The 25,603-nt window shown below is 40.4% G+C and overlaps 1 protein-coding gene across 1 annotated transcript in view, besides 1 other annotated feature; it reads right to left on the bottom strand.

Moving 5' to 3' along the window:
• The window catches only part of MAP3K21 (mitogen-activated protein kinase kinase kinase 21), a 57,425-nt gene that overhangs the window by 4,140 nt on the left and 27,682 nt on the right, over positions 1-25,603 (bottom strand). The window contains exons 5-9 of the mRNA NM_032435.3: positions 18,716-18,956; positions 8,849-8,971; positions 4,943-5,093; positions 4,482-4,579; positions 1,299-2,078 (exon numbers count right to left, since the gene is read on the bottom strand). Coding sequence (NP_115811.2) covers positions 1,299-2,078; positions 4,482-4,579; positions 4,943-5,093; positions 8,849-8,971; positions 18,716-18,956 — 1,393 coding nt within the window. The remainder of the gene's footprint in view (positions 1-1,298; positions 2,079-4,481; positions 4,580-4,942; positions 5,094-8,848; positions 8,972-18,715; positions 18,957-25,603) is intronic.
• Positions 8,891-9,391: an enhancer, noted in NCBI's record as "H3K4me1 hESC enhancer chr1:233507364-233507864 (GRCh37/hg19 assembly coordinates)". NCBI's record gives its function as "activates a minimal SCP1, AML or CMV promoter by ChIP-STARR-seq in naive H9 embryonic stem cells {active_cell/tissue: H9 hESC(naive)}" and the evidence as "EXISTENCE:reporter gene assay evidence [ECO:0000049][PMID:30033119]".

Genomic DNA, 25,603 nt, shown 5'->3' with positions numbered 1-25,603 from the left:
AATGTCAGTATTTCAGTGCCACTTAACCCCAGAAATCTCAAAGCTGAGTACATTCTAGCACATGATAGCATGATCCAGTCACATCAATACTCACTGAATTTTAGGAATGGAAAAAATACCGCAGTGAGGAGGAGTGAGACACTGTGATACAGCAGAAGGATCCCGGGTTTAAATTCTGACACCACTACTTCCTAATTGTGTGACCTTGAATAACATTAATTTTCCGTAAGTTTGAATTCTCTTGCATATAATAGAGTTGCCATAAAAACTAAGAGACAATTTATGTCCAAGTGCTTTAACATCTATAAAGTGCTGTGGAAATACCACTGGTTGCCTTCTGCCCAAGCCCCTCTTGTTGAATAGACTAAAAAACTATTTAAAAATTTGATTTTCTTTTCTTTCAGAGATTCCACATCTGGACATAAACCTCATGGAACTGTCTGGTATAACATACATCAACAGGGTAATACTTGCTGTCATGGGGTGAACTGTGTCCCCACAAAATTCCTAAGCAGAAGCCCTAACCCTCTGTCCCTCAGATGTCACTGTATGTGGAATAGGGTCTGTACAGAGGTGATTAAGGTAAAATGAGGTCATTAGGGTGGGCCCTAATCCAATGTGACTGATGTCCTAAAAAGAGATTAGGACACAGATGATTAGGACACAGATGCACTCAGAGTGAAGACTGTGTGAGAACACAGGGAGAAAACGGCCGTCTAGAAGTCAAGGAGCCAGGCTGAGCTCAGAAGGAACCAACCCTTCAGACACCTTGATCTGACTTCCAGCCTCTGGAACTGCTGGACAATGAGTTTGTGCTGAACATCTCTCCATGCTGTGGCACTCTGTTATGGCAGCCCTAGCAGGCTGATCACCTGCTACACACAGTCCCAACAGAAACAGAACAATGACATGTACAGCAGTGGAGGAGACAAGGCCCGCAGGGAGGCGAGAGGCCAGTTTCAGTTCCAGCCCTCCCACTCATCCGTGGTTCTAACTGGGGCAGCTGGCTTGTCTTTCCCGTAACGTGAGGGGGCTGGGTGGTTATTCTCCATGTGTTCTTTCTGCTTTGATATGCTATTATAGGTTTCAGTTACTGAAATTCAATTACACTTTTCCCAGAATCCAAATCATAGTTAAAATCAAATAAGAGAAGGGTAAGGTTCAAAGATCTACATGAACAGTAAAAACAAATTATTAAATGTCATCACCAGGAAAAGATAAAATCATAAATCCATACTGTTTCACATACTAATCTCTACAGCAGTGTTTTATGCTTTTACCTAATTAATGCAACCTACTTGGGGTCGGATTTCCATCAGACATGGTCCGTCTGTGATGTGACGGTCTATGTTTTGAAGAAGCACAGTAAGGTACATTCCCACATGTCTGCTGTAGGAAGGAAGACGGCAAGTTTCTTGATACACTACAATCAGTGTCAAGTCTTGGCATGAGGGCTGGCTCACGACCACTTCCTGGGGCAGTGGGACAAAAATCCGGAGTGAGCATCTCAGAGTCACAAGTGACAGGTGCACTGTCCACCAGTGGATCTTCACTGTCCATCTGCAGCAGGCACTTTGTGGAGAAAGAAGGTGTGGAGAGGATGCCCAGGGCACTTGACAGTGGCAGGGAGGGTGGGCTGCTGGCCTCCCCACAGGTGGATGGCAGGCTTGTGGGAGGACTGGCGCTTCTGCGGGACTTGGAAGCCCGCTGGAAGATTCCCTCTCGTTTCTTCTTCTCTTCCTTGGGCAACGGTTCTTCAGCAGCCTGTGCTTTATGAAGCTCTCTGAGGTCCAGTCCCAGAGCCACCGATGCCAGAAGGACGGTGCACCCATACAGAGCTGACTCCGTTTTCTTTCTCTGGGGGGATCTACTCAGACTATTCGTAGGAGTCATCTCAATGGAGACTGTGGCAGCATTCGCAGAGGCTGCCTCCTCCCAGCTTTCAGCTTCTGCAGGATTCTCTCTCTGAGCATCTTTCCCAAGAGGTAGATCAATGTAGGCCTGACTAGGCAATTTTATTTGTTTTGGTTTTCTGTGTTCTAATCCATCAGGGGAAAGTTTTGGCTCTTCACAGGACCCTAAATAAAGGTATAAGTACATACACTGTAGTATCATTTTACAGCAAAAGTCATTTAAACAAGATTGTAAAATAAAGCTAAAATATAATAAATACATATTTTAAATCAAAACACATGCAGCCCTTTTCATTTCTGCAAATGATTCATCCAGGAGGGCTCCATGGAGCAAGAGTCTAGGGCCCTACAACTTCAGGTTCCCTGCAGATGAACCAGCAAGCTAGCCATCTGCTGTTTCCTATGCTTCGGGAAGCTGTTCTTCATCAGCTTCAATAATAGACACTATTGTAGAAACAGTCATCAAAACACAAAAACGCACAACCATAGGCACAAAATCACTAAATATGTCACCAAATGTGCTCTTTTCCTCACTTCACCTAAATACATGCATCAGGCTCCATTATCTACAGCTTTCCTGTGTATAAACTAACTGTTCTGTAGCAGATCAGCAGTTCTCAAAGTGTGTGGCCTGGACTGGCAGCATCTGCATCCCCTGGGAATTTGTAGAAATGTAAATTATTGGCCCACCCCAGACTATGGAATCAGAAATTCTGAAGAGTGGAGTCCAGCAGTCTGTGTTTCAGCTAGCCTTTACTGAAGTTTGGGGACCATTAAAATAGAAGATTCTCCCAAGAGGTTACAGAATCCCAAAGGTTACAAATTATACCCGCTTAAGAGGAAGCTAACATTCTTATCACAAAAGTGACAGCGCATAATTAAACAACAAACTCATTAATCTGATTTCCAAATAACATCTCTAATTTTTTCCAACACTACATCCTAGTATACCTAAACATGCTTGATGATCTAGACCAGGGGTCCCTGAACCCCAGGCCATGGACTGATACCGTGGCCTGTTAGGAACCAGGCTGCACAGCAGGAAGTGAGCAGCAGGTGGGCGAGTGAAGCTTCTTTTGCATTTACAGCCAGTGCCCATTGCTCACATTACCACCTGAGCTCCGCCCTGTGTCAGTTCAGCAGAAGCATTAGATTCTCATAGGAGCATGAACCCCATTGTGAACTGCACATACAAGGGATCTAGGTTGCTCCTTATGAGAATCTAGGATCTGATGATCTGTTGCTGTCTCCCATCACTCCCAGATGGGACCATCTAGTTGTAGGAAAACAAGCTCAGGGCTCCCACTGATTCTACATTATGGTGAGTTGTAGAATTATTTCATTATGAATTACAATGTAATAATAATAAAGTGCACAACAAATGTAATGCGCTTGGATCATCCTGAAACCATCCCTACCCCACTGGTCCATGGAAAAACTGTCTTCCATGAAACTGGTCTCTGGTGCCATAAAGGTTGGGGACTGCTGATGTAGACAATTTGGGGTGCCAGCTTTCTTTCTCCAAAGAACCCTGTGCTCTTCCCTGTGGTGCCTTTTGTTTGGGGTACCCTCTTTTTCCTTCCACTCCCTGACGTTGCTGACCCAAGCTCCCTTTTCCTTCATAAAGGAGAACCTTCAGAAGGAGAAGCTGAACCCAGGTAGTGAGTGCAAAGGTGCTTGTGAAATTGAGCACAGTACCAATAACAAATTCAATACATTTACATTGTGTCTTGCTAAGGCATCTTTAATTTGATCAAAGTACCAAAGAGTCTGCCTAAATGGTCAAGTATAAAGACCAATTTTATTTTCTGTGTTAGTAACCGTGCTTGAAGTTTTTCAACGATTTCCATCTCTTCAATCTTTTAATACTGAATACTGAATACAAATATAGAATATTGAAAGTAAATCATTATGATTCATTTAAATTAAATAGAAATTCCAGTGTAAAACTCTCCAAGGAGTCATTTTTCTTATTTATTTATTTATTTATTTATCTAGAGATAGAGTCTCATTCACTCTATTGTCCAGGCTGGCATGCAGTGGCACAATCTTGGCTCACTGCCACCTCTGGCTCCCAGGTGCAAGTGATTCTCTTGCCTCAGCCTCCTGAGTAGCTGGGATTACAAGCAAGCACCACCATGCCGGCTAGTTTTTGTGTTTTTCATAGTTAACCTGTTTCATTGGATTTCCTCATGTCAACAGGTGGCACTATAGCAAGAAGCCATACCCCTTAATCTCAGCAGAACTTTCAGGGGGGTCTATATTTTTACATCTAATATTTCCCATACTAAATTGATTTGGTTTTACATAATTAATTGTGATAATAATGTTTCTGGTAAGGAAGAAGAGTTACAAATTCCCAAAACCACGTGAAGCCTAATTACTTCCTGCCATAAATACTTGACGGAAAATAACTTCTGAATTTAAGTAAAGCTATAAGAAATGCCATTACTTGCTAATCTCCCCTCTGCTACTTTAATGACCACGTAAGACTGTAAAAGCAAAGCTTCAGCACAATCAGATGCCAAGGACTGCTCAAGCAAATCCTACCTCCTGAAACACATTTACCTGGCTGGTCCACAAACAATGAAGCCAAGGGCATGGTTTTCTGATTTTTTATTAAGATAGTTGACCAAGGACTGTTGCCATCGGAGAGAGGTCTTATCCTACAAGAGAAAAATGTTTCTTTTCATAAGATAGAAGCACACAACACACCAATTAGGTTTTGGTGGATACAGACCAACAATATTTTTAAGGTAGTAAAGAGAACACATTTGTACTCAGTTTTGAAGGGCTGACAAAGTACAAATAATACCTGAAAGTGAGACAGGAAAAATCTCAGAAATATTCTAACTGCTTAACTAAATAATAGTTAATTTAGCATGATAAATTCATCCTAGAAAATTGTTGATATTTATAAATCTCTCTATTAATTTACTTGCTTTTTGAAAGTCTGGCTGATGTGATATTAACACAGGAATGGATTTGTCATATTACACAATGAATACCACCAGATACCACACACGTACCTTTCTTTGCAATCTGTTCTATCTTTCATTTGAATGGAATTTGGTCCCCAGGTACAACCTTTTTTCTTAAAATTCCTTTTTACATCCTCAAATTCTTCTTGTCGAAAGACTGTGTTCCTTCCCCAAGTTTTATTGCTTTCATCTGAAGTCACTAAAAAGAACATTATTAACCATATTAACCACAACAATCATATTAACCAATATTGGCTTTGTTAAAAAAGCTAAATGAATCATATCAGTTGTGAAACTACCTTACTCAAAACATGAAAACAATGAGAAAATTATTTATTTCACCCAATCTCTGGTAAGTTTCTTTCTCTGATCATAAAAACATCAAGAAAAATGGAGTAAGTTAACAGAAAAGATACAAATTCGAGGTAAATTAGCAGCAAAGATTTGATTACTTTTTAATCTATTTATTTAGCATTTTGCAACAATTAGGATTTCATTGTAATTGGGAGGGAAATCACCAAACTAAACATGTAACTTAAAATGAACTTAGTACTCTAATTTTTTAACCAAATCAGTTAAAGTTTTGACCTAGAGGCACAAACATCATATATTTTTAAATTGTAATTTCAACTAATTTTTCATAAGTCGTCACAATTTATTTCTTTCTTTATTTTTTGGTCATCACAATTTTGCTCAGTCATGACAACACTTTGGTTACGGTTGCCTTTTAAAACTTGAAAATATTTAACAGTTTTCCATGTCTTGCTTTTTTCACTACCTCACAGGACGATGTATATTCCTCTTTAATATCCACATTTTGCTAAACACTTAGATGCTGTCCCTCTAATTTAAGTGCACTTGAAAGTGATTTGGGGCCAGGCGCCATGGCTCACGCCTGTAATCCCAGCAGTTTGGGAGGCCGAGGCGGGCAAAACACAAGGTCAGGACTTCGAGACCAGCCTGGCCAACATGGTGAAACCCGGTCTCCACTAAAAATACAAAAAAATTAACTGGGCATGGTGGCGGGCGCCTGTAATCCCAGCTACTCAGGAGGCTGAGGCAGGAGAATTGCTTGAACCCAGGTGGCAGAAGTTGCAGTGATCCGAGATCGCGCCACTACACTCCAGCCCAGGTGACAGTGCAAGACTCCGTTTCAACAAAAAAAAGGGATTTGGAAATCACTGGGGAAAATTGCTATTATTACTACACACTTAGGGGAAAAATATCTGAAACATACTAGATGTTCTAAAAACAGTTTGAAATATTATGATATACAATGGAATACTCTGTGACCATAATAAAAATGAGGTACAGATGATACATAATGTTTATATTATATTTAATATTACATATAATAAATACATTTTCATTAAAAATTATGTGTTTATAGATGCCTGTATATACACACATACATACACAGAGGAGAAGTTACTAAACACAGATACCAAACTTACTAAAGTGTTTAAATTTAATAGAGAGGATTGCTATGTAGAGGGAAATTTAACTCCTTTATATCACTTTGTAAAATTGGACACATTGTGGATGATGTTTGGTTACTTACATGTGTTTCAATATTTTCCAAATTTTAAAATACACATATATGTGTGTATATACACGTGTCTGTGCATATAAATGTGCTTAGGCCGGGTGCGATGGCTCACGCCTGTAATCCCAGCACTTCAGGAGGCCAAGGCGGGTGGATCATGAGGTCAGGAGTTCAAGACCAGCCTGGCCAAGGTGGTGAAACTCCGTCTTTACTAAAAATACAAAAATTAGCCGGGCGTGGTGGCGGGCACCTGTAATCCCAGCCACTCGGGAGGCTGAGGCAGGAGAATCACTTGAACCCAGGAGGCGGAGGTTGCAGTGAGCCGAGATGGCACCACTCCAGCCTAGGCAACAGAGTGAGACTCCATTTCAAAAAAAAAAAAATGTAGATGCATGCCTAAATGTAAGTGTGCATGTGTAACAATCTTGAATCAGCTGTTCATTCTTTTTATTAAAAGAGTTTTACAGTAGAATGACAGATAAACGGATCAGCAGTTTTCATTTAAGTGAGGGCAGCAGAACCGGAAAAGCTTTCAGCTGGGGGTTATTAGACCCAAGTTCATCTCGGCTATATGACTGACTGACTGATCTACACTCCCAGAGCTATCTACACTCTCGGCTTTAGTCTCCTCACCTTCGTCCCTTCCTACTTTCCTTCCCCTCTTGATTTGCTCCTCTGGTTTCTCTTTTGTTTCCACATTGATTGAACTTTTCCTGTACTAAGAGGCCGGAAACGGATGGTGAAATCTACACTCAGATGTGTCTGAATCCAGCTTCACCAGTTAGTAGCTACCAACTTGGGTCAGCTTAATGGTAACTTCTCTGTCCCGCATTTGGGGATCATAAAAGGGTCCACTCAATGAGGCTGTCAGAATTGAATGGGGGTGTGCACACACATGAAGACAAGAGGCATTCTTGGAGCACCCAGGGTCACAATGAAGATGAGCAACATCCAGGCTGGAGAACTTGAGCCAACAGCTGCCACACACAAAGCTGGCCCTGTGTGGACTGTCTCGATTAGAACCTTTCCACCATGTTACTTCTGAGAAGGAGCGCCAAGGATGCGCCTCCCTAAGCTGGCTGCATTTCAACTTTGGAGGGTTGGAATTCATTTGAAGTCCCAAATTATTTACTTTAACTGGTACACATCTTGGGCCCAGCCAGGCCTTCCCAGTACCACTTCCTGGCTTCTGTGAGGTGGTTTTCCCCAGAGCAGAAGGTGAAGACACAGGAAAGAGGGCAGAGGAGTGGCCAGGCAAAAGCAGGGGTGGCACGGTGTCCCATCTGCTCATCCCTTCGTGGAGCTGGGAGACCAGCCTGGGACCCTTTCTCTCTCCGTTAATTAGGCCTTTGCCTAGGCAAAGGCAAGGTTTGAGGTACGGTTTTATGCAAAATGCATTCTCAGAAAACCAAATCAGTTATAATAAATGACAGTCCTTTAAGCTCTAAAACTACAGCCTCATTTAGATCCAGTTTCTCTGTGGGGATCCTGGTGTCCGAGAACTTGCAAAAGAAATCTCTGCTGGTGCCAAGGTTTTCATTATCAAAAGAGGAAAAAAAAATGAGATTCCATGCAAGCCTCATTAGACAAAATTTTCTTTTGGATTTTTTTTTTCTCCAAATAAGGATGAGTAAACAGCAGGGAATTAAGTTTGGTGGAGGAAGGAGAGGATCCAAATGAATGGTTTACCACAGACTTAGGCTAATTACCACATTACTTACAGACATACGCATTAATCACATTCTTCTTTCGCTTAGCCTACTTTTAGGGGTTTATCTGGACTCACCTTTGAAAAAAATTAGTAATTTTATTTCATCCGCTACATTCTGATTCATAGCCTAACTGAAACTCTCACAATGCAAAGGTGCCAGGCGAATCAGCTGTCTGTACTGTCTCCTCCAGGATGAATGCTTGTTCTAAAACCAAAACACTACAAGGAATTTTTAAGTATTAGGTTGGTCAAACCTAAAGTGAATTAAAGTTAAATCCTGAAAAGCAAAAATTTTTTCCCCTCACGAAACAAAGAAAGAAACAGAAGTAATCCTGAATTCCTGATTTCATTTTTCAAAGTACCCTGACACAAATGGCTGATGATAGAATTAGGTTATGCTAACGTTGCGTGCAAGTGTTTAACAGAATGTCTCGAGATGTGGTGTTTCACTTTCTACTCCGGGGCCAGGTCGCATCACCAACTGCATAGCATCTAAAATTCATTTTTTGTGAGTAGAAGAAAATTAGACTAAGGAACCTATGCTCAAGTTTTGTTTCTCAAATAGTTGTGGCACCTACGAAATGTCCTACACTCATCTACAACCTGCTATGAAAACACATCTGCTCAATTTGAATCCAAGTCAAGTGAAAGGAGAGAAGTCAACACAGGAGCCCCCGTGGCAGTGCAGAAAGCTCACACTGTATGGCTCGGAGTCGGGGCATCATTGTGGGGCTGCTCGGGGGACTGGAACTGCTGCTGTTCAGGCTCCGCCGTTTGTCCAAGTTGGGAGAGGCCTGCACGGTTATCTTGTGCTGGAAATCTGTTGGAGGCAAAAAGGGAGAACTGGTATTTCATGGTTTTCCTTTATCTTCATAGCCATGTATTTAGCACACAGCAATAAAAACAAAAATGGTCAGACCCTAACTGCAAAGAATATTGCAGGATCGATTTCTTATTTTGGTTTCTTACTTCTCGGGGTTCAGGTCAATAAATAATGATTCTGAGCTTATATGTTGGATATAGTCACACAAATAATGAATCAGAGCTTATATGTTGGATATAGTCACACACATACACACACACACACACACACACACACACACACACAAAGGAAAATATGAAAGCCACGAATCATTGAAGAATTTATAACCTGGGAAAAAAGAGTTATCTGCATTCAGTCTGAGATAGTTAAAATTAAGTCTGAACACGGTGGCTCATGCCTGAAATCCCAATACTTTGGGAGGCTGAGGTGGGCAGATCACTTGAGGCTAGAAGTTCGAGACCAGCCTGGCCAACATGGCAAAACCCCATCTCTACTAAAAACACAAAAATTAGCCGGCATGGTGGCACACATCTGTAATCCCAGCTACTCGGAAGGCTGAGACAGGAGAATCACTTGAACCTGGGAGGTGGAGGGTACAGTGAGCTGAGATTGTGCCACTGCACTCCAGCCTGGGCAACAGAGTGAGACTCTGTCTCAAATAAATACACAAATAAATAAATAAAATTAAATTGAAATGGCCCTGGATTTAAATGAGTCCTGGTTCTCATAACATAACACGCTATGGACCTCAAACCAGTAAGGAACTGCTCTGAGCCTGTTTCTTCACCTGCTAAAGTGAACAACAATATTTCACATGGTGGTCGTGGTGTTGAATAAAACAGAAAATGTAAATTAAAAGCATTTTGTGCTCTAGGCATTCTACAAATGCTGGCTCTTATTATCTAACTGTAATATGGTAGAGATATACCAAGATCTATAGGTTCATATGGAAGAGAAAGCAATATTACCAGAGGAAAGAGGGGTGTGTCTGGGGAAACTTTATAAACTATCAGGAAAATCATTAACAACTTGGAAGGAGGTAAAAGACATTACTGGATATTCTTTCAGTGCAGAGCTGAGCTTAAGCTTTGATTGATTGCTTTTCTATGGACTGAGTTATTTTTATAACTAGGTAAGAGCAGAGGTTAACTTGTAGATTTTGTCTGGTGATGATGCAAATAACTTCCGTCTGGAGAAAAAGACAATCCCAAATGGTTCATTGCCATATTAGACATCAACCAGGTCTGCGTTTAACCCAGCAATCTAATCCTGCATTCCTCTATTAATTTGCCCATAAATATCTCACTCCTCAAATTCTCATTTGAACTGGTTCTACCTGATTCCTCAACGATTAATGAGTTTAATAAAAATCTTTGACATATGTTCATTTCATATTTGCAAGAGACCTATAACTTACCTTTTTGGAAGTTATACTTTAAAGAACTTTAATGAATGAACTGCTATTTGAGATGAAGAGGATTTGGAAGTTGGTAGGCAAGGACAGCTATCCAATTATTCATACTAGAAATCTGAATACTTTTCTTGATATTGTCTTTTCTGTTACCCTACATATCCACCAAGCACAAAATATCAGGTAAATTCTGTGCTATATATTTTTCTGCAGTAGAGAAATTTATATTCCAGGTTATGGAGTTAGCAAACTTAGATCTGAATCCCATTTCTACCACAGCCATATGAATTTCAAGAAAGTAACTTAAGGTCTTGAAGTCTCAGTATCTTTACTGACAAAAATGGAAAAGAACTAATTATTCCTATTTCACAGGACTGCTATGAAAAATTCAGTGCAAAGAAGTATAAAAAGTACTTACCACAGGGGTTGGGACATAATAAATGCTCAATAAATGTTTTTTTCCTTTTGTTCTCTCCATCTGCACGGCCAATCACCATGTCATCCCTAGCCTGCTACAATGCCTTGTGTCCATCTTCCTGCATCCACATTTGGCCCCCCAAGTCCACTTCACAGCAGCCAGATGCATTTTTAATATGCCTGACTGACATGTCATTCCCCTGCTTAAAATCCTTCAAAGGCCTCTCATGATTCTTAAGTTACAGATTAAAACTGTAACACATTCTGGAAGTCCCTGCAAACCTGAGCCTGAGTTCTTCTTTCTGCTCCAGCCTCATCTTGCCCTATTCTCCTCTCACTCGTCACAGCCTGGAAGAGGGGTCAGCTCACTTCTTCTGCAAAATGCCCCATTTTAGGCTCTGTGAGCCACACAGTCTCTGTAACAACTGCCTGACTCTGCTGATGTGAGAGAAAGCAGCCACAGTCAACACAAAGATGAATGTGTCCCAGTAAAATGATCTTTATGGATATTGAAATTTCATATCAGTTTCATATCATGTCAGGTGCAATGAAGTATTCTTCTTCCTCTTTGATTTTTTTCAAGCATTTAAAAGTGTAAAAACCATTCTGAGCTCATGGCTGTACAAAGCGGGTAGAGGCGGGATTGGGCCCATAGGGCAGTGTGCTGAACCCTGTTCAAACCACACTGAACTTTTTTCAATTCCTGGAAGAAACCAAGTTTCCTCCACATGTGCTCTCAGCCTATTCTCTTTCTTCATCTTCTGTATTTGGTAAATTCCCATATCACGTCTCAATTTAAATGTTACTTCTTTTTTTGGAGATGGAGTCTTGCTCTGTCACCCAGGCTGGAATGCAATGGTGCGATCTCAGTGCACTGCAACCTCCACCTCCCGGGTTCAAGCAATCCTCCTGCCTCACCCTCCTGAGTAGCTGAGATTACAGGCGCACACCACCACACCTGGCTAATTTTTTTTTTTTTTTTTTTTGTATTTTACTAGAGACGGGGTTTCACCGTGTTGCCCAGGCTGGTTTCGAACTCCGTTAGGAAGCCTTCTATGATCACCTTAGACCAGGTTACATCTCTGCACTAGTCACTGTCATGTGACTTTTCCCTCACAGCAGCTAATGATTATAGAAGCAAATAAGTATTGAATTATTAGCTTAAGTTCTGCCCCCTCCCTCAATATAAGGTAAGTGCTCTATGGGCAGTGACCATGACAGTCTCCATGACTTCAGACTGGCACAGTGCCTTGCACATTACAGGTACTTAGAAAACTTTGCTGAATGAGTACTTTCTCTGTGGGAAACATGAGTGCAGAGACTGCATATATGTTTTATAATCACCCCTAGTACTGGGGACACAGCAGATCCTCAGGTGTTTGTTGACGGAGAAAGTTATGCAGGGTTCATCTACAGGATCAGGCTGGTGCTTGAAGTGAGTTGCTGAGGAATACACAGCAGGCTGGAGGAGATTTGGAAGACAAACCAAACGGAAAGGAAAGACCAAATGGGAGGCTCCTCCATCTGCTGAGTCATACTTTTTTTTTTTTAAAGACAAGATTTTACTCTGTTATCCAGGCTGGAGTGCAGTGGTGCAATCTCAGTCCACTGCAGCCTTGACCTCCCCTGGCTCAAGCAATTTTCCTGTCTCAGCCTTCTGAGTAGCTGGTACTACAGGCATGCACCACTATGCCCAGCTAATTTTTGTATATTTTTGTAGAAATGGGGTTTCACCATGTTGCCCAGGCTGGTCTTGAACTCCTGGGCTCAAGCAATCCACCTGCCTTGGCCTCTGAAAGTGCTTGGGATGACAGGCGTGAGTCACTGCACCTAGCCCCAAGTCATTCCTTTTGAAAGACTTGACCAGGGCAGAGCAGTTGAGGTAAAAAATTGACTAGACTAGGTGGTGGTAGTTGGGGGAAAGAGGTGGTCAAAGAAAAAAAATTCTTAACCATAGAAAGGAAACAGTTTAGACTAAAGTCATTTATAAATGTTCAGCTAGCCACCTGATTGTTACAACACGACAGAAACAAATGCTCTGAGAACTTTTACAGCAAGAGGAGCCCTCCTGTCAATAACAGAAGAAAGCCAAGAACCAAGCCACAGGATCTGATTGACAAGTTATTTGGAACAAATGATGGGACAATAAATACTAAGCACAGATCAGGAAACCAACATGGAACACGTGGAAAGCCACGGGTGAGAGCAGCAAAGATACAAGGCTGCATTTTAACAACACCTAAGATTCAGAGTGCTTCCAACCTTCCAAAAACACCTAAATACTTCCACTTGAAAAGCATACTTTATGTTGTAAACAGAAAGAAAACATTCTTTTTTTTTTTTTTTTGAGACGGAGTCTTGCTCCTGTCACCCAGGCTGGAGTGCAGTGGCGAGATCTCAGCTCACTGCAACCTTGCCTCTTGAGTTCAAACAGTTCTCCTGCTTCAGCCTCCTGAGTAGCTGGGATTACAGGTGCCTGCCACCACGCCCATCTAATATTTGTACTTTTAATAGAGATGGGGTTTCTCCATGTTGGCCAGGCTGGTCTCGAATTCCTGACCTCAGGTGATCTGCCTGCCTTGGCCTCTCAAAGTGCTGGGATTACAGGCATGAGCCACCACGCCCAGCCAACATTCTTTATCGTAAACATCCTTGTCCCTTTGAAGTAGGGAAAGGTTGAGTCTGTGCCAGCTAAACATTTGGGAAAACTAAAGCTGAATTGTTAAAATGCCTGTGGCCTGTGCTCAGATTTTCTTTGTACTCACTAGAATAATGGTTCTCAAGATGCCTGGTCATAGCAGCTATAGTTCAATCACAGGCTTGAGTAAAACCTATCCTAGTATTTTTGCTGGCAATATGAATATTTCACTAACAAAGCTAATTGCCTCAGTGGGAGGCTTCCATTTGCAGATGAAAAGGAATGTATTCTCTAAAGAATCCAGGTGAGGTTATATGCTCTCTCCCATCCACCCTTCTACTCACTCGCATACCTGTGAGGTAGATGGTTTTTGCAGGCTTTGGACACTTCTGAAGCAATCAAAGTTAGAATGCCACTGCTTTAGTGACATACCAACTTTTGGAGGCTTTAAAGCTTTTGTCTTGTATTAACGTGTCCAAAAAACACAACTTCAGTTAAAAGTAAACATAAACAGAAGGAGCAATCAATATAGAGTACTCACAAAATAAAAAGATGCACTGTGACCATGCTTTTTTCTCTTGCAAATTCCAAGAAAAATACTACATAATCACAAAGTATTGTTTTAAAATTATTATCCTAGATTATTACTGTCTTACTTTTTAAGCATTAATCTTCCTTATTTGGTAGCCAGCCATGAAGAAATTCCAGGAGGAAAAAAAAATCACTTTTGAGGTTTCTATCACTAAATCACCATAGCTATAAATACCCATAAGATTAAAAACGATCAGCAGTAATTCTCGAGGACAAAGTTACAAGAGAATGTAATGATTCATATTTAATACCAAGTTTTTGAAAGATCTGCAGGCACAAATATTAAAGGTCAGCTTGGAGGACTCTAGAATATGTTTCGGAGAAATTCTCTAAGCTTATTATGCATAGGGAAAAATCCTGCAAAAGGAGTTCAAGAAGTTGGTAACTCCATGAAAGGACAGCATCGCTGTTCCATCTACCACTTATCACGTTTCTCCCTGAACAGTGTGCCATTTAACAGTATTAGAATTTGTTTCTCTTCGTCTTTTTGTTGACCCATAAAAATTATACATATTTATGGGGTACAGAGTGATATTTTGGTACTTGTTTACAATATATAATGATCAAGTCAGAGTAATTAGCATATGTATTACTTTGGGTATTGATCATTTCTTTGTGTTGTGAACATTCAATATCCTCTCTTCTGGCTTTTTGAAAATATACAATAAATTACAGTTAACCATATTCACCCTATAGTATTGCAGAATACCAGAACTCATTCCTCCTACCTAGCTGTACTTTGGTATCCATTAACTAACCTCTCTGCAACCTCCCCTCCCCTCAAGCCCTTCCCACCCCAATAACCACAATTCTACTCTCTATTTCCACGGACTCCAATTTTTTTCGCTCCCACATATATGTGAGAACATGCAGTATTTATTTTCTTGTGCCTGACTTACTTCACTTAACATAATGTCATCCAGGCTCATCCACGTTGCCACAAAAGATAGAATTTTATTCTTTTTTATGGCTGAATAGTGTTCCATCAGGTAAACACACCACATTGTCTTAATTCATTCATCCATTGATGGACACTTAGATTGATTCCTTATCTTTGTCATTGTGAATAGTGTTGCCATAAACATGGGATTGCAGACATCCCTTTGATATACAGATTTTCTTTCCTTTGAGTAAACACCTGGTAGTGGAATTCCTGGATCATACAGCAGTTCTATTTTTAGTTTTTTTTTTGAGAGACCTCCATACTGTTTTCCACAATGGCTGTACTAACTTACACTTCCATTAGCTATAGATAGCCATAAGATTTAAAATGATCAGCAATAATTCTCAAAGACAAAATTACAAGAGAATGTGTGTAAGAGTTCCCTTTTCTCCACATCCTCACCAACATTTACTATTTTTCGTCTCTTTGATAACAGCCATTCTAACTAAGGTGAGCTAGCTCACTGTGATTTTCATTAGCATTTCCCTGAGGATTAGCGATGCTAAGCATTTTTTCATATGCTTGCTGGCCATTTTTATGTCTTCTTTTGAGAAATGTCTATTCAGTTCCTTTGTCCAATTTTAAATCAAATTATTTGTGTTTTTGCCATTGAGTTATTCGAGTTCTGTGTATATTCTGTGCTAGTCCCTTGTCAGATGAATAGTTGACTAATATCTTCTCCCATTCTACAGGTGGTCTCTTCACTCTGTTGATTGTTTCCTTTGCTGTGCAGAAGCTTTTCGGTTCAATATAGTCCCAATTGTCTATTTTTGTTTTTTGTTGCCTGAGCTTTTGAAGTCTTAAGTCATAAAATTTTTGCCTAGGCCCATGTCCTGAATTGTTTCCCCTATTAAACAATACTAACTTAAAGAATTTTCTAGCAGATAATATTGAATGCAACTAACTCCCTGGATTTTAAGTTACACATGCTTGCTTTCTCTTCTATACTAAGCGGAATTCTCCAAGAAAAAAATAATTATTTTTATAGTTATCATTTCCCTTTTTGGATGTCTGTCCCATTCTAGGATATTGTACAAGTAAATATGCGTGCATGTGTGTGAGTTTAGGGTTGGAGCATTCTAATAGAAATTTCCATATTGGTACCAGTATTATTAATATTAAGATGATAATGTAGTGCCATCTTGTGGGCAGAAGAGGTAACTGTCATGCTAAAAATTCCAGAAACCAAATTTCATTCCTTGGTGATGGGTCAGGATTATAGCAGTAGATTTCTTGGTTATGTTTTAACTGGAATCTTTCATTAAGTGCCAAAAAGTAAATAAATGTGTAACTAAAATTTCTCCTCTCTTCTCAGGAAAAGAAAAGCTGTATAATACAATACAGGAATTAAAAAAACAACTCAGGTAAAAATAGTCAAATAATATTCAGTCTGCTTTGAATAAACTCAGGGTATTAGCCAAGGAACATTTGAGAAGAAAAGCAAGACTGAAAATCTGACCTCAGGAATGCTAAGATTTTGATTTAATCATTTTACCACTGAAGAGGAAAGAATCATTGGAACGATTTTCATTTTTTATCCCAAATTTACTTCCCTTTCCATCAGCTTCTTAATCCTTTCCACCTTCCCCAAAGTTTCCCAAGGGAAACAATAAATATTAATTTGGATAACACAATCAAATCACAGCTAGAAGAAAACTGACATAACTGAAAAATGGAGAAGAAAACTCACATCTAGTGCACCTCTGGATTTTTCTTTCCTCTATGTGTGAAGGCAGAAGCCTCATCATAAATAAATAGTCTATTCTCTATGGCTGACTGACACGTAAGACAGACCAGTCAGTGACCCTGCAAGCAACACTCCAGCTAAGGAAAACATCAGAAGAGAGCCTGGAAAAGGACCTTCCCCCAACACCCAACCCCAGAGAGGTTGAAGGTAAAAGTGATAAGGATCCACAGTCTATTCTCACCCCATCAAACCAAATAATCAATAACATATACTGGACTCTCATGATGACCACCTCATACTAGCACTTTTCTTTCTTTTTTTCTCTTTTTTTTTTGAGACAGAGTCTCATTCTGTTGCCCAGGCTGGAGTGCAATGGCACAATTTCGGCTCACTGCAACTTCCAGCTCCCGGGTTCAAGAGATTCCCCCGCCTCAGCCTCCCAAGTAGCTGGGATTACAGGCACCCGCCCCCGTGCCCAGCTAATTTTTTTTTTTTTGTATTTTAGTAGAGACAAGGTTTCATCATGTTGCCCAGTCTGGTCTCAAACTCCAGATCTCAGGCAACCCGTCCACTTCAGCCTCCCAAAGTGCTAGGATTACAGGCGTGAGCCACCATGCCCAGCCTTCTTTCTTTCTTTTTTTTTTTGAGACAGAGTTTCGCTCTTGTCACCCAGGCTGGAGTGCAATGGTGTGATCTCGGGTCACTGCAACCTCCACCTCCCAGGTTCAAGTGATTCTCCCGCCTCAGCCTCCCGAGTAGCTGGGATTACAGGCACCTGCCACCATGCCCGGCTACTTTTTGTATTTTTCATAGAGACGGAGGGGGTTTCACCATGTTGGCCAGGGTAGTCTTGAACTCCTGACCTCAGGTGATCCACCCACCTCAGCTAACCAAAGTGCCGCGATTACAGGCATGAGCCACTGCACCCAGATGTCATACTAGCAATTTTTTGATCAACTGAGGACATCTGCAATAACCTAAATTAGTCACAGGATTCTGCAAGCTTTCCAGTGTTTCATAATACATATTTTATAAGGCAATTTATACACACTCGACATAAAACAAAACTGTCACTGTTGCACTTTAAATCAAATTACCATGCCATTAACAAACATCTTAGGAAAACACTAGAATCCGTCCGAGCACTCTAATATATAATACATATAACACATAGGCAGGTATAGACATAGACATAGAGATATTTCATACAGATTCTATAAAAGTGAAGTCTGCATTGCTCTGTCATCATCCTGCTCTGGTACTAGAAAGAATCACAAAATACCATGGAGGTATTTGTTTTTTCCTTACAACAAGTAGAATATATAATATTAAAGAACTTAATTTAGTGAATCAAGCTATGTCTGCTATATTGATCGATATATTTTGATTATCAGTCAATAATATCTATATGTATTGATTGATTGATATATTTTCTATTCCCTTTAGTTTCTCCTAACACATTACTAAAATGATTTAGTAATCCTTGTATGTTGTTATCACAATGTTTAAAAAAGCTTCCCTAGATTTACTGGGTGATTTTTGTGTCTGAAGGATTTTAAACCTTCATGGGAAAGTACCTCAGGGTACTTGATATATTTTATTGAAAGTGCTGACAACAATATCAGTGTCCCAGATACCAGATGACATCCTAGATCCTTGTGGAAGCAATGAACGTAATGATGAAATATTAACAGTTTCGTTGTTTTGCATCTTCACAATGCCACATGACATTGGCTCAGTACGCTCAGCTAAAAAATGGTTCTGCTTCAATTTCAAAAGGAGTCAATCAGTTAATCCATCAATATGAAAGTACGCTGAGGGTTAGATCCTCGTGTGCTGTGACTACCACGTGCTCCTAATGCTGTTTCCTACATGGAATCTCATTAGGCCATTACATTAGAACCATGAATCTAAGCCTACAGCTGAAGATACTCATTCATTCACTGTTTTACAAAGTTACTTCCCTATCTCTTTCCTGGTTCTGATGAACAAAGAAAACTGATTAAAAGGAGGACACACAAAAATCTTTCAAAAACATAAAAACAAGATCATACCTGAAGGTAAACTGATTCGATGTCCATCTTTGAGCTTTAAACGACTTCTCTTAAACTTGCCCTTCCTCTTCTTTACCTTGGGCTTCTCCTGGTTTAGCTGGAATATCAGAATGTTAAGTTCCCGCTCCAGCACGTCGATCTCGCGCTCTGCCAGCTGCTGCTCACGCCGCTTTAGCAGCTCCTCCTGAGACTTCTGCTGCAGAGCCGCCCGAGTCAGCTCCTCTTCCCGGGATCGCAGCTCCTGCGACACAGATTCACACCCACCGGAATCATTCCCAGCAGGAAGAAGGGAATTCCGTCTATTACACTACACTGGCGACCCCTCGGCCACGGGCTCCTCCTGTGCACAAGGAGAAGCTGAAATTCCCTCTTCCTCTGCTCAAGCCCTGGTCACTCAGGTCCTCATGGGACGAAGGTCTTTGCAGTCAGGACAATCCAAGCCGAAACCTTTTCAGCGGATTATTCACTTAGATGACAGCCCAGGCCTCTGCACAAACGCCAGTCTCCTCTGTTAGTTTTATGATCCTAAAAGAGGCATCATAAATTTTCTACACTTGGTTTTTCACATTTCTCCCTCTTCATCTCTCACCTGACACATAAAATATGCATTAACACAGGGCAACAAAGTGCAGATGTGAATGACCCATTTCAAAATAAAGCCAAAAGTTCAAGCTCAATTAATTAAAGCATAATTATTTTAGTTACACAAGACTGCAGTTCAGACGACTTAGAATTTCTTTAGGGTATTTACAACTTTGCTTAAGGAATAAAACATCTTGGTGGAGAGAGTAAGGGAGAAAATCAAGCTAAGGTGTTAGGAGTCTGTTGAAGACCTGCTGGAAATGAAAATGAAGCCACCTCTAAAATTGCAAGCCAAAGGAAAATATATTCTGTATACAAAGAACTTTTCAGATCCCGCTGATACATGGAAATTATCACTTCATTACACATCTCAGGAGTTAGCTAACAAAAGTTCCTCTCTTATGATACTGATTAAAGTTAGACCTCATCTTGGTTTTGGTTTTTGAAGTACTGAACTTCTAAGAAAGAGAAAATCTAAGAATTAAAAATACTTTTATTCCTATTAGGAAAAATTATTAAACAGTAAAACTGAGGACTCTACAAAGTTTTAAAATTATATCCCCATTTTTATTTCATTTCCATAAAGTGTTCTGTTCTTTACCAGAGACATAAATATTCTTTGCAGTGCTGAACCAGTTTCTATTCTAAATTACTCTGCTAAGAAATCAAGCACTCACATAAAAATCAACGCATCTGCAAGCTTTTATTTACACTGTTCCAGATAAACTTAATCTTAGAATACCCTAATACCACAATCTTTGTTGGAAACTGCAGATGCCTTCTCAGGTGGAGTGTTGGGCTCTGAGCTTTGAGAGCTATGAGTACTGTGCAAACATTTCCTACTTTATATAAACAGGCCACACTTTAAATAGGCCCACCTCAACGATTCTGATCCATGAAAAAACACAGTAAGATTAGGGCTCCTGGAAGAAACTAGACCCAAACCAAGGGACTAGAATGCAATTCAAATCTACTAATACTTGGACTTTTTACAGACGGACTCAAAGAGTAATCTGAGCCTATCAGTACAATTATCGTAAAGAAAATAAACAGGAAGACCATCCTCCCACAAATAAATGGGACAATATCACGAAGAGACTAGGGAGAGCTAATAATAAAGAAATGTATTTATTCAGGTCAAACTGATTACGAATTTGGGGTGATTCTAACCAAAGTGGACTGAAATTCAGTTTTGAAACTTTCTTTAAATTTATTTCTTGAAACAAATTTCACAAGAAAAACTGCAGGAGAAATGATTTATTTTAGACCAAATGATGTTTAAATCACTTCAGCTAATATGCCTATCAGTTGGTTTTTATTTATAGACCAGGTGGGTGTTTCTTCATTACACCGTGTCAGATATAAATTATTATTTACTACTTGAAAAAAAGGGGAAAATGTTACATGTTAAAAAATCTGTAATCCATTTTTTAACTAGTGACTTTTGTTCAACTAGTTTGTCCAAATTGGACATTTTACTATAGTGTATTTGGAGGCAGAGGATAATTTCCAGTCACCTTTCAATTTCTAACTCATTAAAACTTTTTGTTAAGATATTACTTTTCAGTGATGTTGATATCAATCCAATTAGCTATTGTTAAATGAGATGGCATGAGAAAGCGATCAGAACAGCAAATCCAAGTAGGTTGTGTGTTGCTACGATAGTAATTGAATAAAAAAACATTTTTAATTCCAGGTCCCAAGCTAAATCATGAATCCCTGTGAACAAATTTGTGAATAATAAACAAAAAATCACTTGCCTAAGACTTCAGAAAAGAAAAAAATAAGATTGAAGAGAAAGCAGCAAAAGTAATCTTCCTTCTGAATAAATTTGAACACATTCAAAAGTAAATTTTAAAACTGGGGTATTAGAACCCTTTGAATACTTCAAAAGTATGAAGCACAAAAACATTCTTTCGGTTGATGAGATTACTAGCAGTAATATTTGTTGAATTGCTTGGCACAGGCCACTCTGGTAATGGCAAATCCAGATCCCTGGCAGTGGCTGTTAATCATTAACGGTGGCATGCCTCTGTGTGGGGGGTCACAGACAGGTGCATGCACAAAATGCACAAATACAGACACACAGAGATAAGGAGCCAGGAGTTTAGGGAGGACCCAGTATCTACGGAGGCTACGGCTTACTGAATAACACAGACCACAGCCAAGTTACTCACCATTAATTCCAAGTCTGATGCCTCCTACCTTAAGCAATCTGTGGACAAGAAAGGGAGATAGGGCACGTACACTATGCTTTTTACTTCATCAAAAAAGATGCAGCTGGAAACTTCGAAGCCAAAAAAAAGCATTATATATTCTTTAATTGTAAATCCAAAGGCTTACAGGGTAACATAAATGCTGTATTTCAAGGAACAATGCACAAAAATAAAACACAAAGTAAAAATAGACACTACTACATGGTAGCTCAAAAATCAACCAAAAAATAAATTACTACAAATCGCAAAGTAGAGAAAGAGCTGACATCCACCCTTGAAGCATGCTTTTATTTTAATACAACATATAATTATGAACTCACTAGAGATGCCTATATCTTCCAGTTTTATAAATAGTTGTCAATAATTAAAATACGTTAAAATAAGGCCGGGCCTGGTGGCTCATGCCTGTAATCCCAGCATTTTGGGAGGCCAGTGTGGGAGGATCACCTGAGATCTGGAGTTTGAGACCAGCCTGGCCAACATGGTGAAACCCCGTCTCTACTAAAAATACAAAAAAAATTAGCCGGGTGTGGTGGTGGGCGCCTGTAATCCCAGCTACTCGGGAGGCTGAGGCAGGAGAATCACTTGAACTCGGGAGGTGGAGGTTGCAGTGAGCCGAGACCACACCACTGCACTGCAACCTGGGTAACAGAGTGAGACTCTGTCTCCAGATAATAACAATAATAATAATTTTTTTTTTTGAGACAGGGTCTTGCTCTGTCGCCCAGGCTGGAGTGCAGCAGTTTAGTCATAGCTCACTGCAGCCTCAACTTACCAGGCTCAAGCAATCCTCTCACCTCGGCCCCCAACAAAGTGCTGGGACTACAGCTGCAAGCCATCACACCCAGCCAGTAACTAATTGTGAGTAACATCATTTCCAAATTTTAGATTCTATGATTTGAAGCTTTATTTCTTTCTCAAACGCTTTTCCTGCTCTTCAAAATCTTTTTCATTTTTGTAATTAAACACCTAATTTTAGAATTCCTGAAAACAATTTGGGGAAGTGTTAAAAAAAAAAAAAACAAATTAGAGTCTTTCCTGTATCATTTTAAGTCAACAAAGTGCATAAAAGTTTCCAAGAAACATGTCAATGATATCACTGGTAGTAATGCTTCACAGAACTGCAGGATGTCAAACCTATTCCAGTCAGTGGTGCTCCAGCCAGTTTTCCAAGAAAGCCTGGGCTAGGGAAACTCAGCTTCTGTGAAAGGTCACCACTTTCTTTTTTTTTCCTGAGACTAACACTTAATTTAGCACATACTAAGAGGTAGGGCTCTGGCTGCTTTGCATACAGGACTCACTTAAGCCCCGCCCAAGCCCTGAGGGACACAGGGTTACAGTGATGGCTCCAATGATGAGGAGGTACAGAGTAACAGAGTCAGAGGCCTCAAAACCATCAGGCACACCTAGAACTTAAAGTATAAAAAAAAAAAAAACCCATCAGGCACAAGAGCCCGAATGCCAACAGGGCTGTCTGACTCAGAGTTCCTGGTGGGGGGTGAGGGAGGTCTATCATATTTTTCAGAATCCCATAAAGACTTCCCATTCAGTCTTGTCCTGGAGAAGGAAACAGGCAGTCACCCAAGCAGTCTATTTCTCTGTCAGCCAGCTCCAAGTGCTAGCAAGTCGTTGACTTGGAGACCAGATTGCCATCCCTGCAGCATTCACCCAGAAGTCCTACTGCGTAACTCTGGAATAACAAGCAACTGGTTTCTTCTCTCCCTACTTGAAAGTCCTCCCCATGCATGGGCAGCCCCAGCAGTCCCCACCCCCTTGTGTGCTGTGTGTTCTTCCTGTTCTTGGACTCCCAGGCTCCCCCATCCTCTCCCATGCATGCCAGGAGGCTCCTTAGGACATGATGCTCGCAGTCAGACGCAACTCCATGGGTTTGAGCAGAACAGGGCAGGTGGGATTGGTGCCTCTCCTTGATGAACTCTAAGTACTCATTAGTGGTGTCATGGTCTTACGTTGCATTTACCTGTTGTGCATTTTTCAATGTAACCAAATACTGAAAAATCTAAGGGACAGAGTGAATTACCTGTATGTCTACTTTATTTTTTTATTTTTATTTTTATTTTTTCTTTTTTTTTTAATTATACTTTAAGTTCTAGGGTACATGTGCACAACGTGCAGGTTTCTTACATATGTATACATGCGCCCTGTTGGTGTGCTGCACCCATTAACTCATCATTTACATTAGGTATATCTCCTAATGCTATCCCTCCCTCCTCTCCTGACTCCATGACACACCCTGGTGTGTAATGTTCCCCTTCCTGTGTCCAAGCGTTCTCATTGTTCAATTCCCACCTATGAGTGAGAACATGCAGTGTTTGGTTTTTTGTCCTTGCAATAGTTTGCTGAGAATGATGGTTATGTCTACTTTAAAAAATGTCTTTAGAAGAAGTTGATTAGAAGAAGGCTGGTCTCAAACTCCTGACCTCAGGTGATCCACCTGCCCCGACCTCCCAAAGCACTGGGATTACAGGCGTGAGCCACCACACCCGGACATTAGTCTTTCTTAAATGTTACGTATAGCTCACATTTGTTTCAATGTTTAATATTAGAAGGGCTTTGGTCTTTATTTCAAAGTTTGGAGATGTGTTTGCAACCAGAAATATGTCGTGGGAACTTAACTGTTTCTATCAATCAGCCTATAGTAAAATTGGTTTCATTATACATCATTTCATTTATAGTCAGTTTCCAAGAGCCTATCCACAACATTGAGTGAGGACTTACTGAACTATACATTTTTGCATTGCGTAAGAATACAATAGGTTAGGCATCTGTTCCCCTGTTAATGGATATTCAGGTTGTTTTAAGCTTTGCACTATTACAAATGATGCCTAAGTGAACAACTTTAAGCACGTTTCCTTGGGCACATGTGTGAGTTTCTGAAGAATCTGTAAGCGGAAGTGGAACAGCTGAGTCATATGCCTCTATTACAGCGTAAGATTCATAACAGGAATCATAATATGTATATACTATAAAATTCATTGTTCACTTTCAATAATAATAATAATAATAATTGCTCATTAAAACAGTAATAATAATGATAATGGCCACTATCTCAATTATTAAAATAGACATCAGGCATATATTAACAAACTGTACTTAGGTTCATTAATGCCTGCCATGTGCTGAGTCCCATGTTCAATGCTGTGTATGCAAATGAAGAAGAATGTAAAAGCATAGTTCATGAACTTATTATCTAGCAGAAAGGACAGATCAAGAACAATTACGTCAGCAAGTATTAATACAGTATGACTTATGCCATGATAAGAGAAGCACAAGACACTCTGATCACCCACAGTTTACCCGATGGAGTAGAGTAGGGGAGGGAGCTATCAGGGACTGAGAACGGAGGGGCCACCATTCATGAAATGGGCACAGAAGCTAGGGAGGAAACAGGATCCTCAGCAGAGGAAAGAACGTGTGCCAAGGTTACAGGTCAGGAGCATGACATCATGGGGACTGGAAGAAATTCAGTATGGCTGGGGACAGGGGCGGTGGAGATGTAAGGCAAAATATGTGAGGAGAAAGGGAGTGAACATGGCAAAAAAGTGGGCAATGGAAACAAGGCTGATCAGATTTGCATTTTAGAAGGAGAAGGGGACAGATGAGGGAAGAAAGGCTGCACAGAGAGTGCCCAGTAAGGATGGTCCAGCAGCCATGCTGGTGATGAGTGAGGTTGGCAGGGATTAGGGCAGAAAATTGCCACTGATGGTCTTTGTCACACAGAAGACCACAGGAACACTGCAAAAAGACCCTTGAGACTGGGTACCTGGGAGAACAGTGATCCCATTACCACAAATAAGGGAAAGAAGGAGGGAAGGCACAGCGGGAGTCGGGGGAGCTTCTGCTTCAATGTCTGGCTTCAAGAGATTATATGCAGCCCCTTTTAAAAACTTGTCAACAAGGTCCAAATCACTAGCCTGGCATTCAAAGAATCATTCAAGGGTACAAACACCACATCCATCTCTGAGTTCTAGGACTCTGGCACTGTCCCAGCATGTAGTAAGAAAAATGGCATAACACTGAAACTCAAAACAATCTCCAACAGACACGTTCTTAAATCGCATTTTTAAGAAAA

Source organism: Homo sapiens, chromosome 1 (assembly GCF_000001405.40).
Source record: "Homo sapiens chromosome 1, GRCh38.p14 Primary Assembly".
NCBI classification, from domain to species: Eukaryota; Metazoa; Chordata; class Mammalia; order Primates; family Hominidae; genus Homo; species Homo sapiens.
Note: the sequence above shows the minus strand (reverse complement) of the source record. Positions and strands in the feature narration are given on the sequence as shown.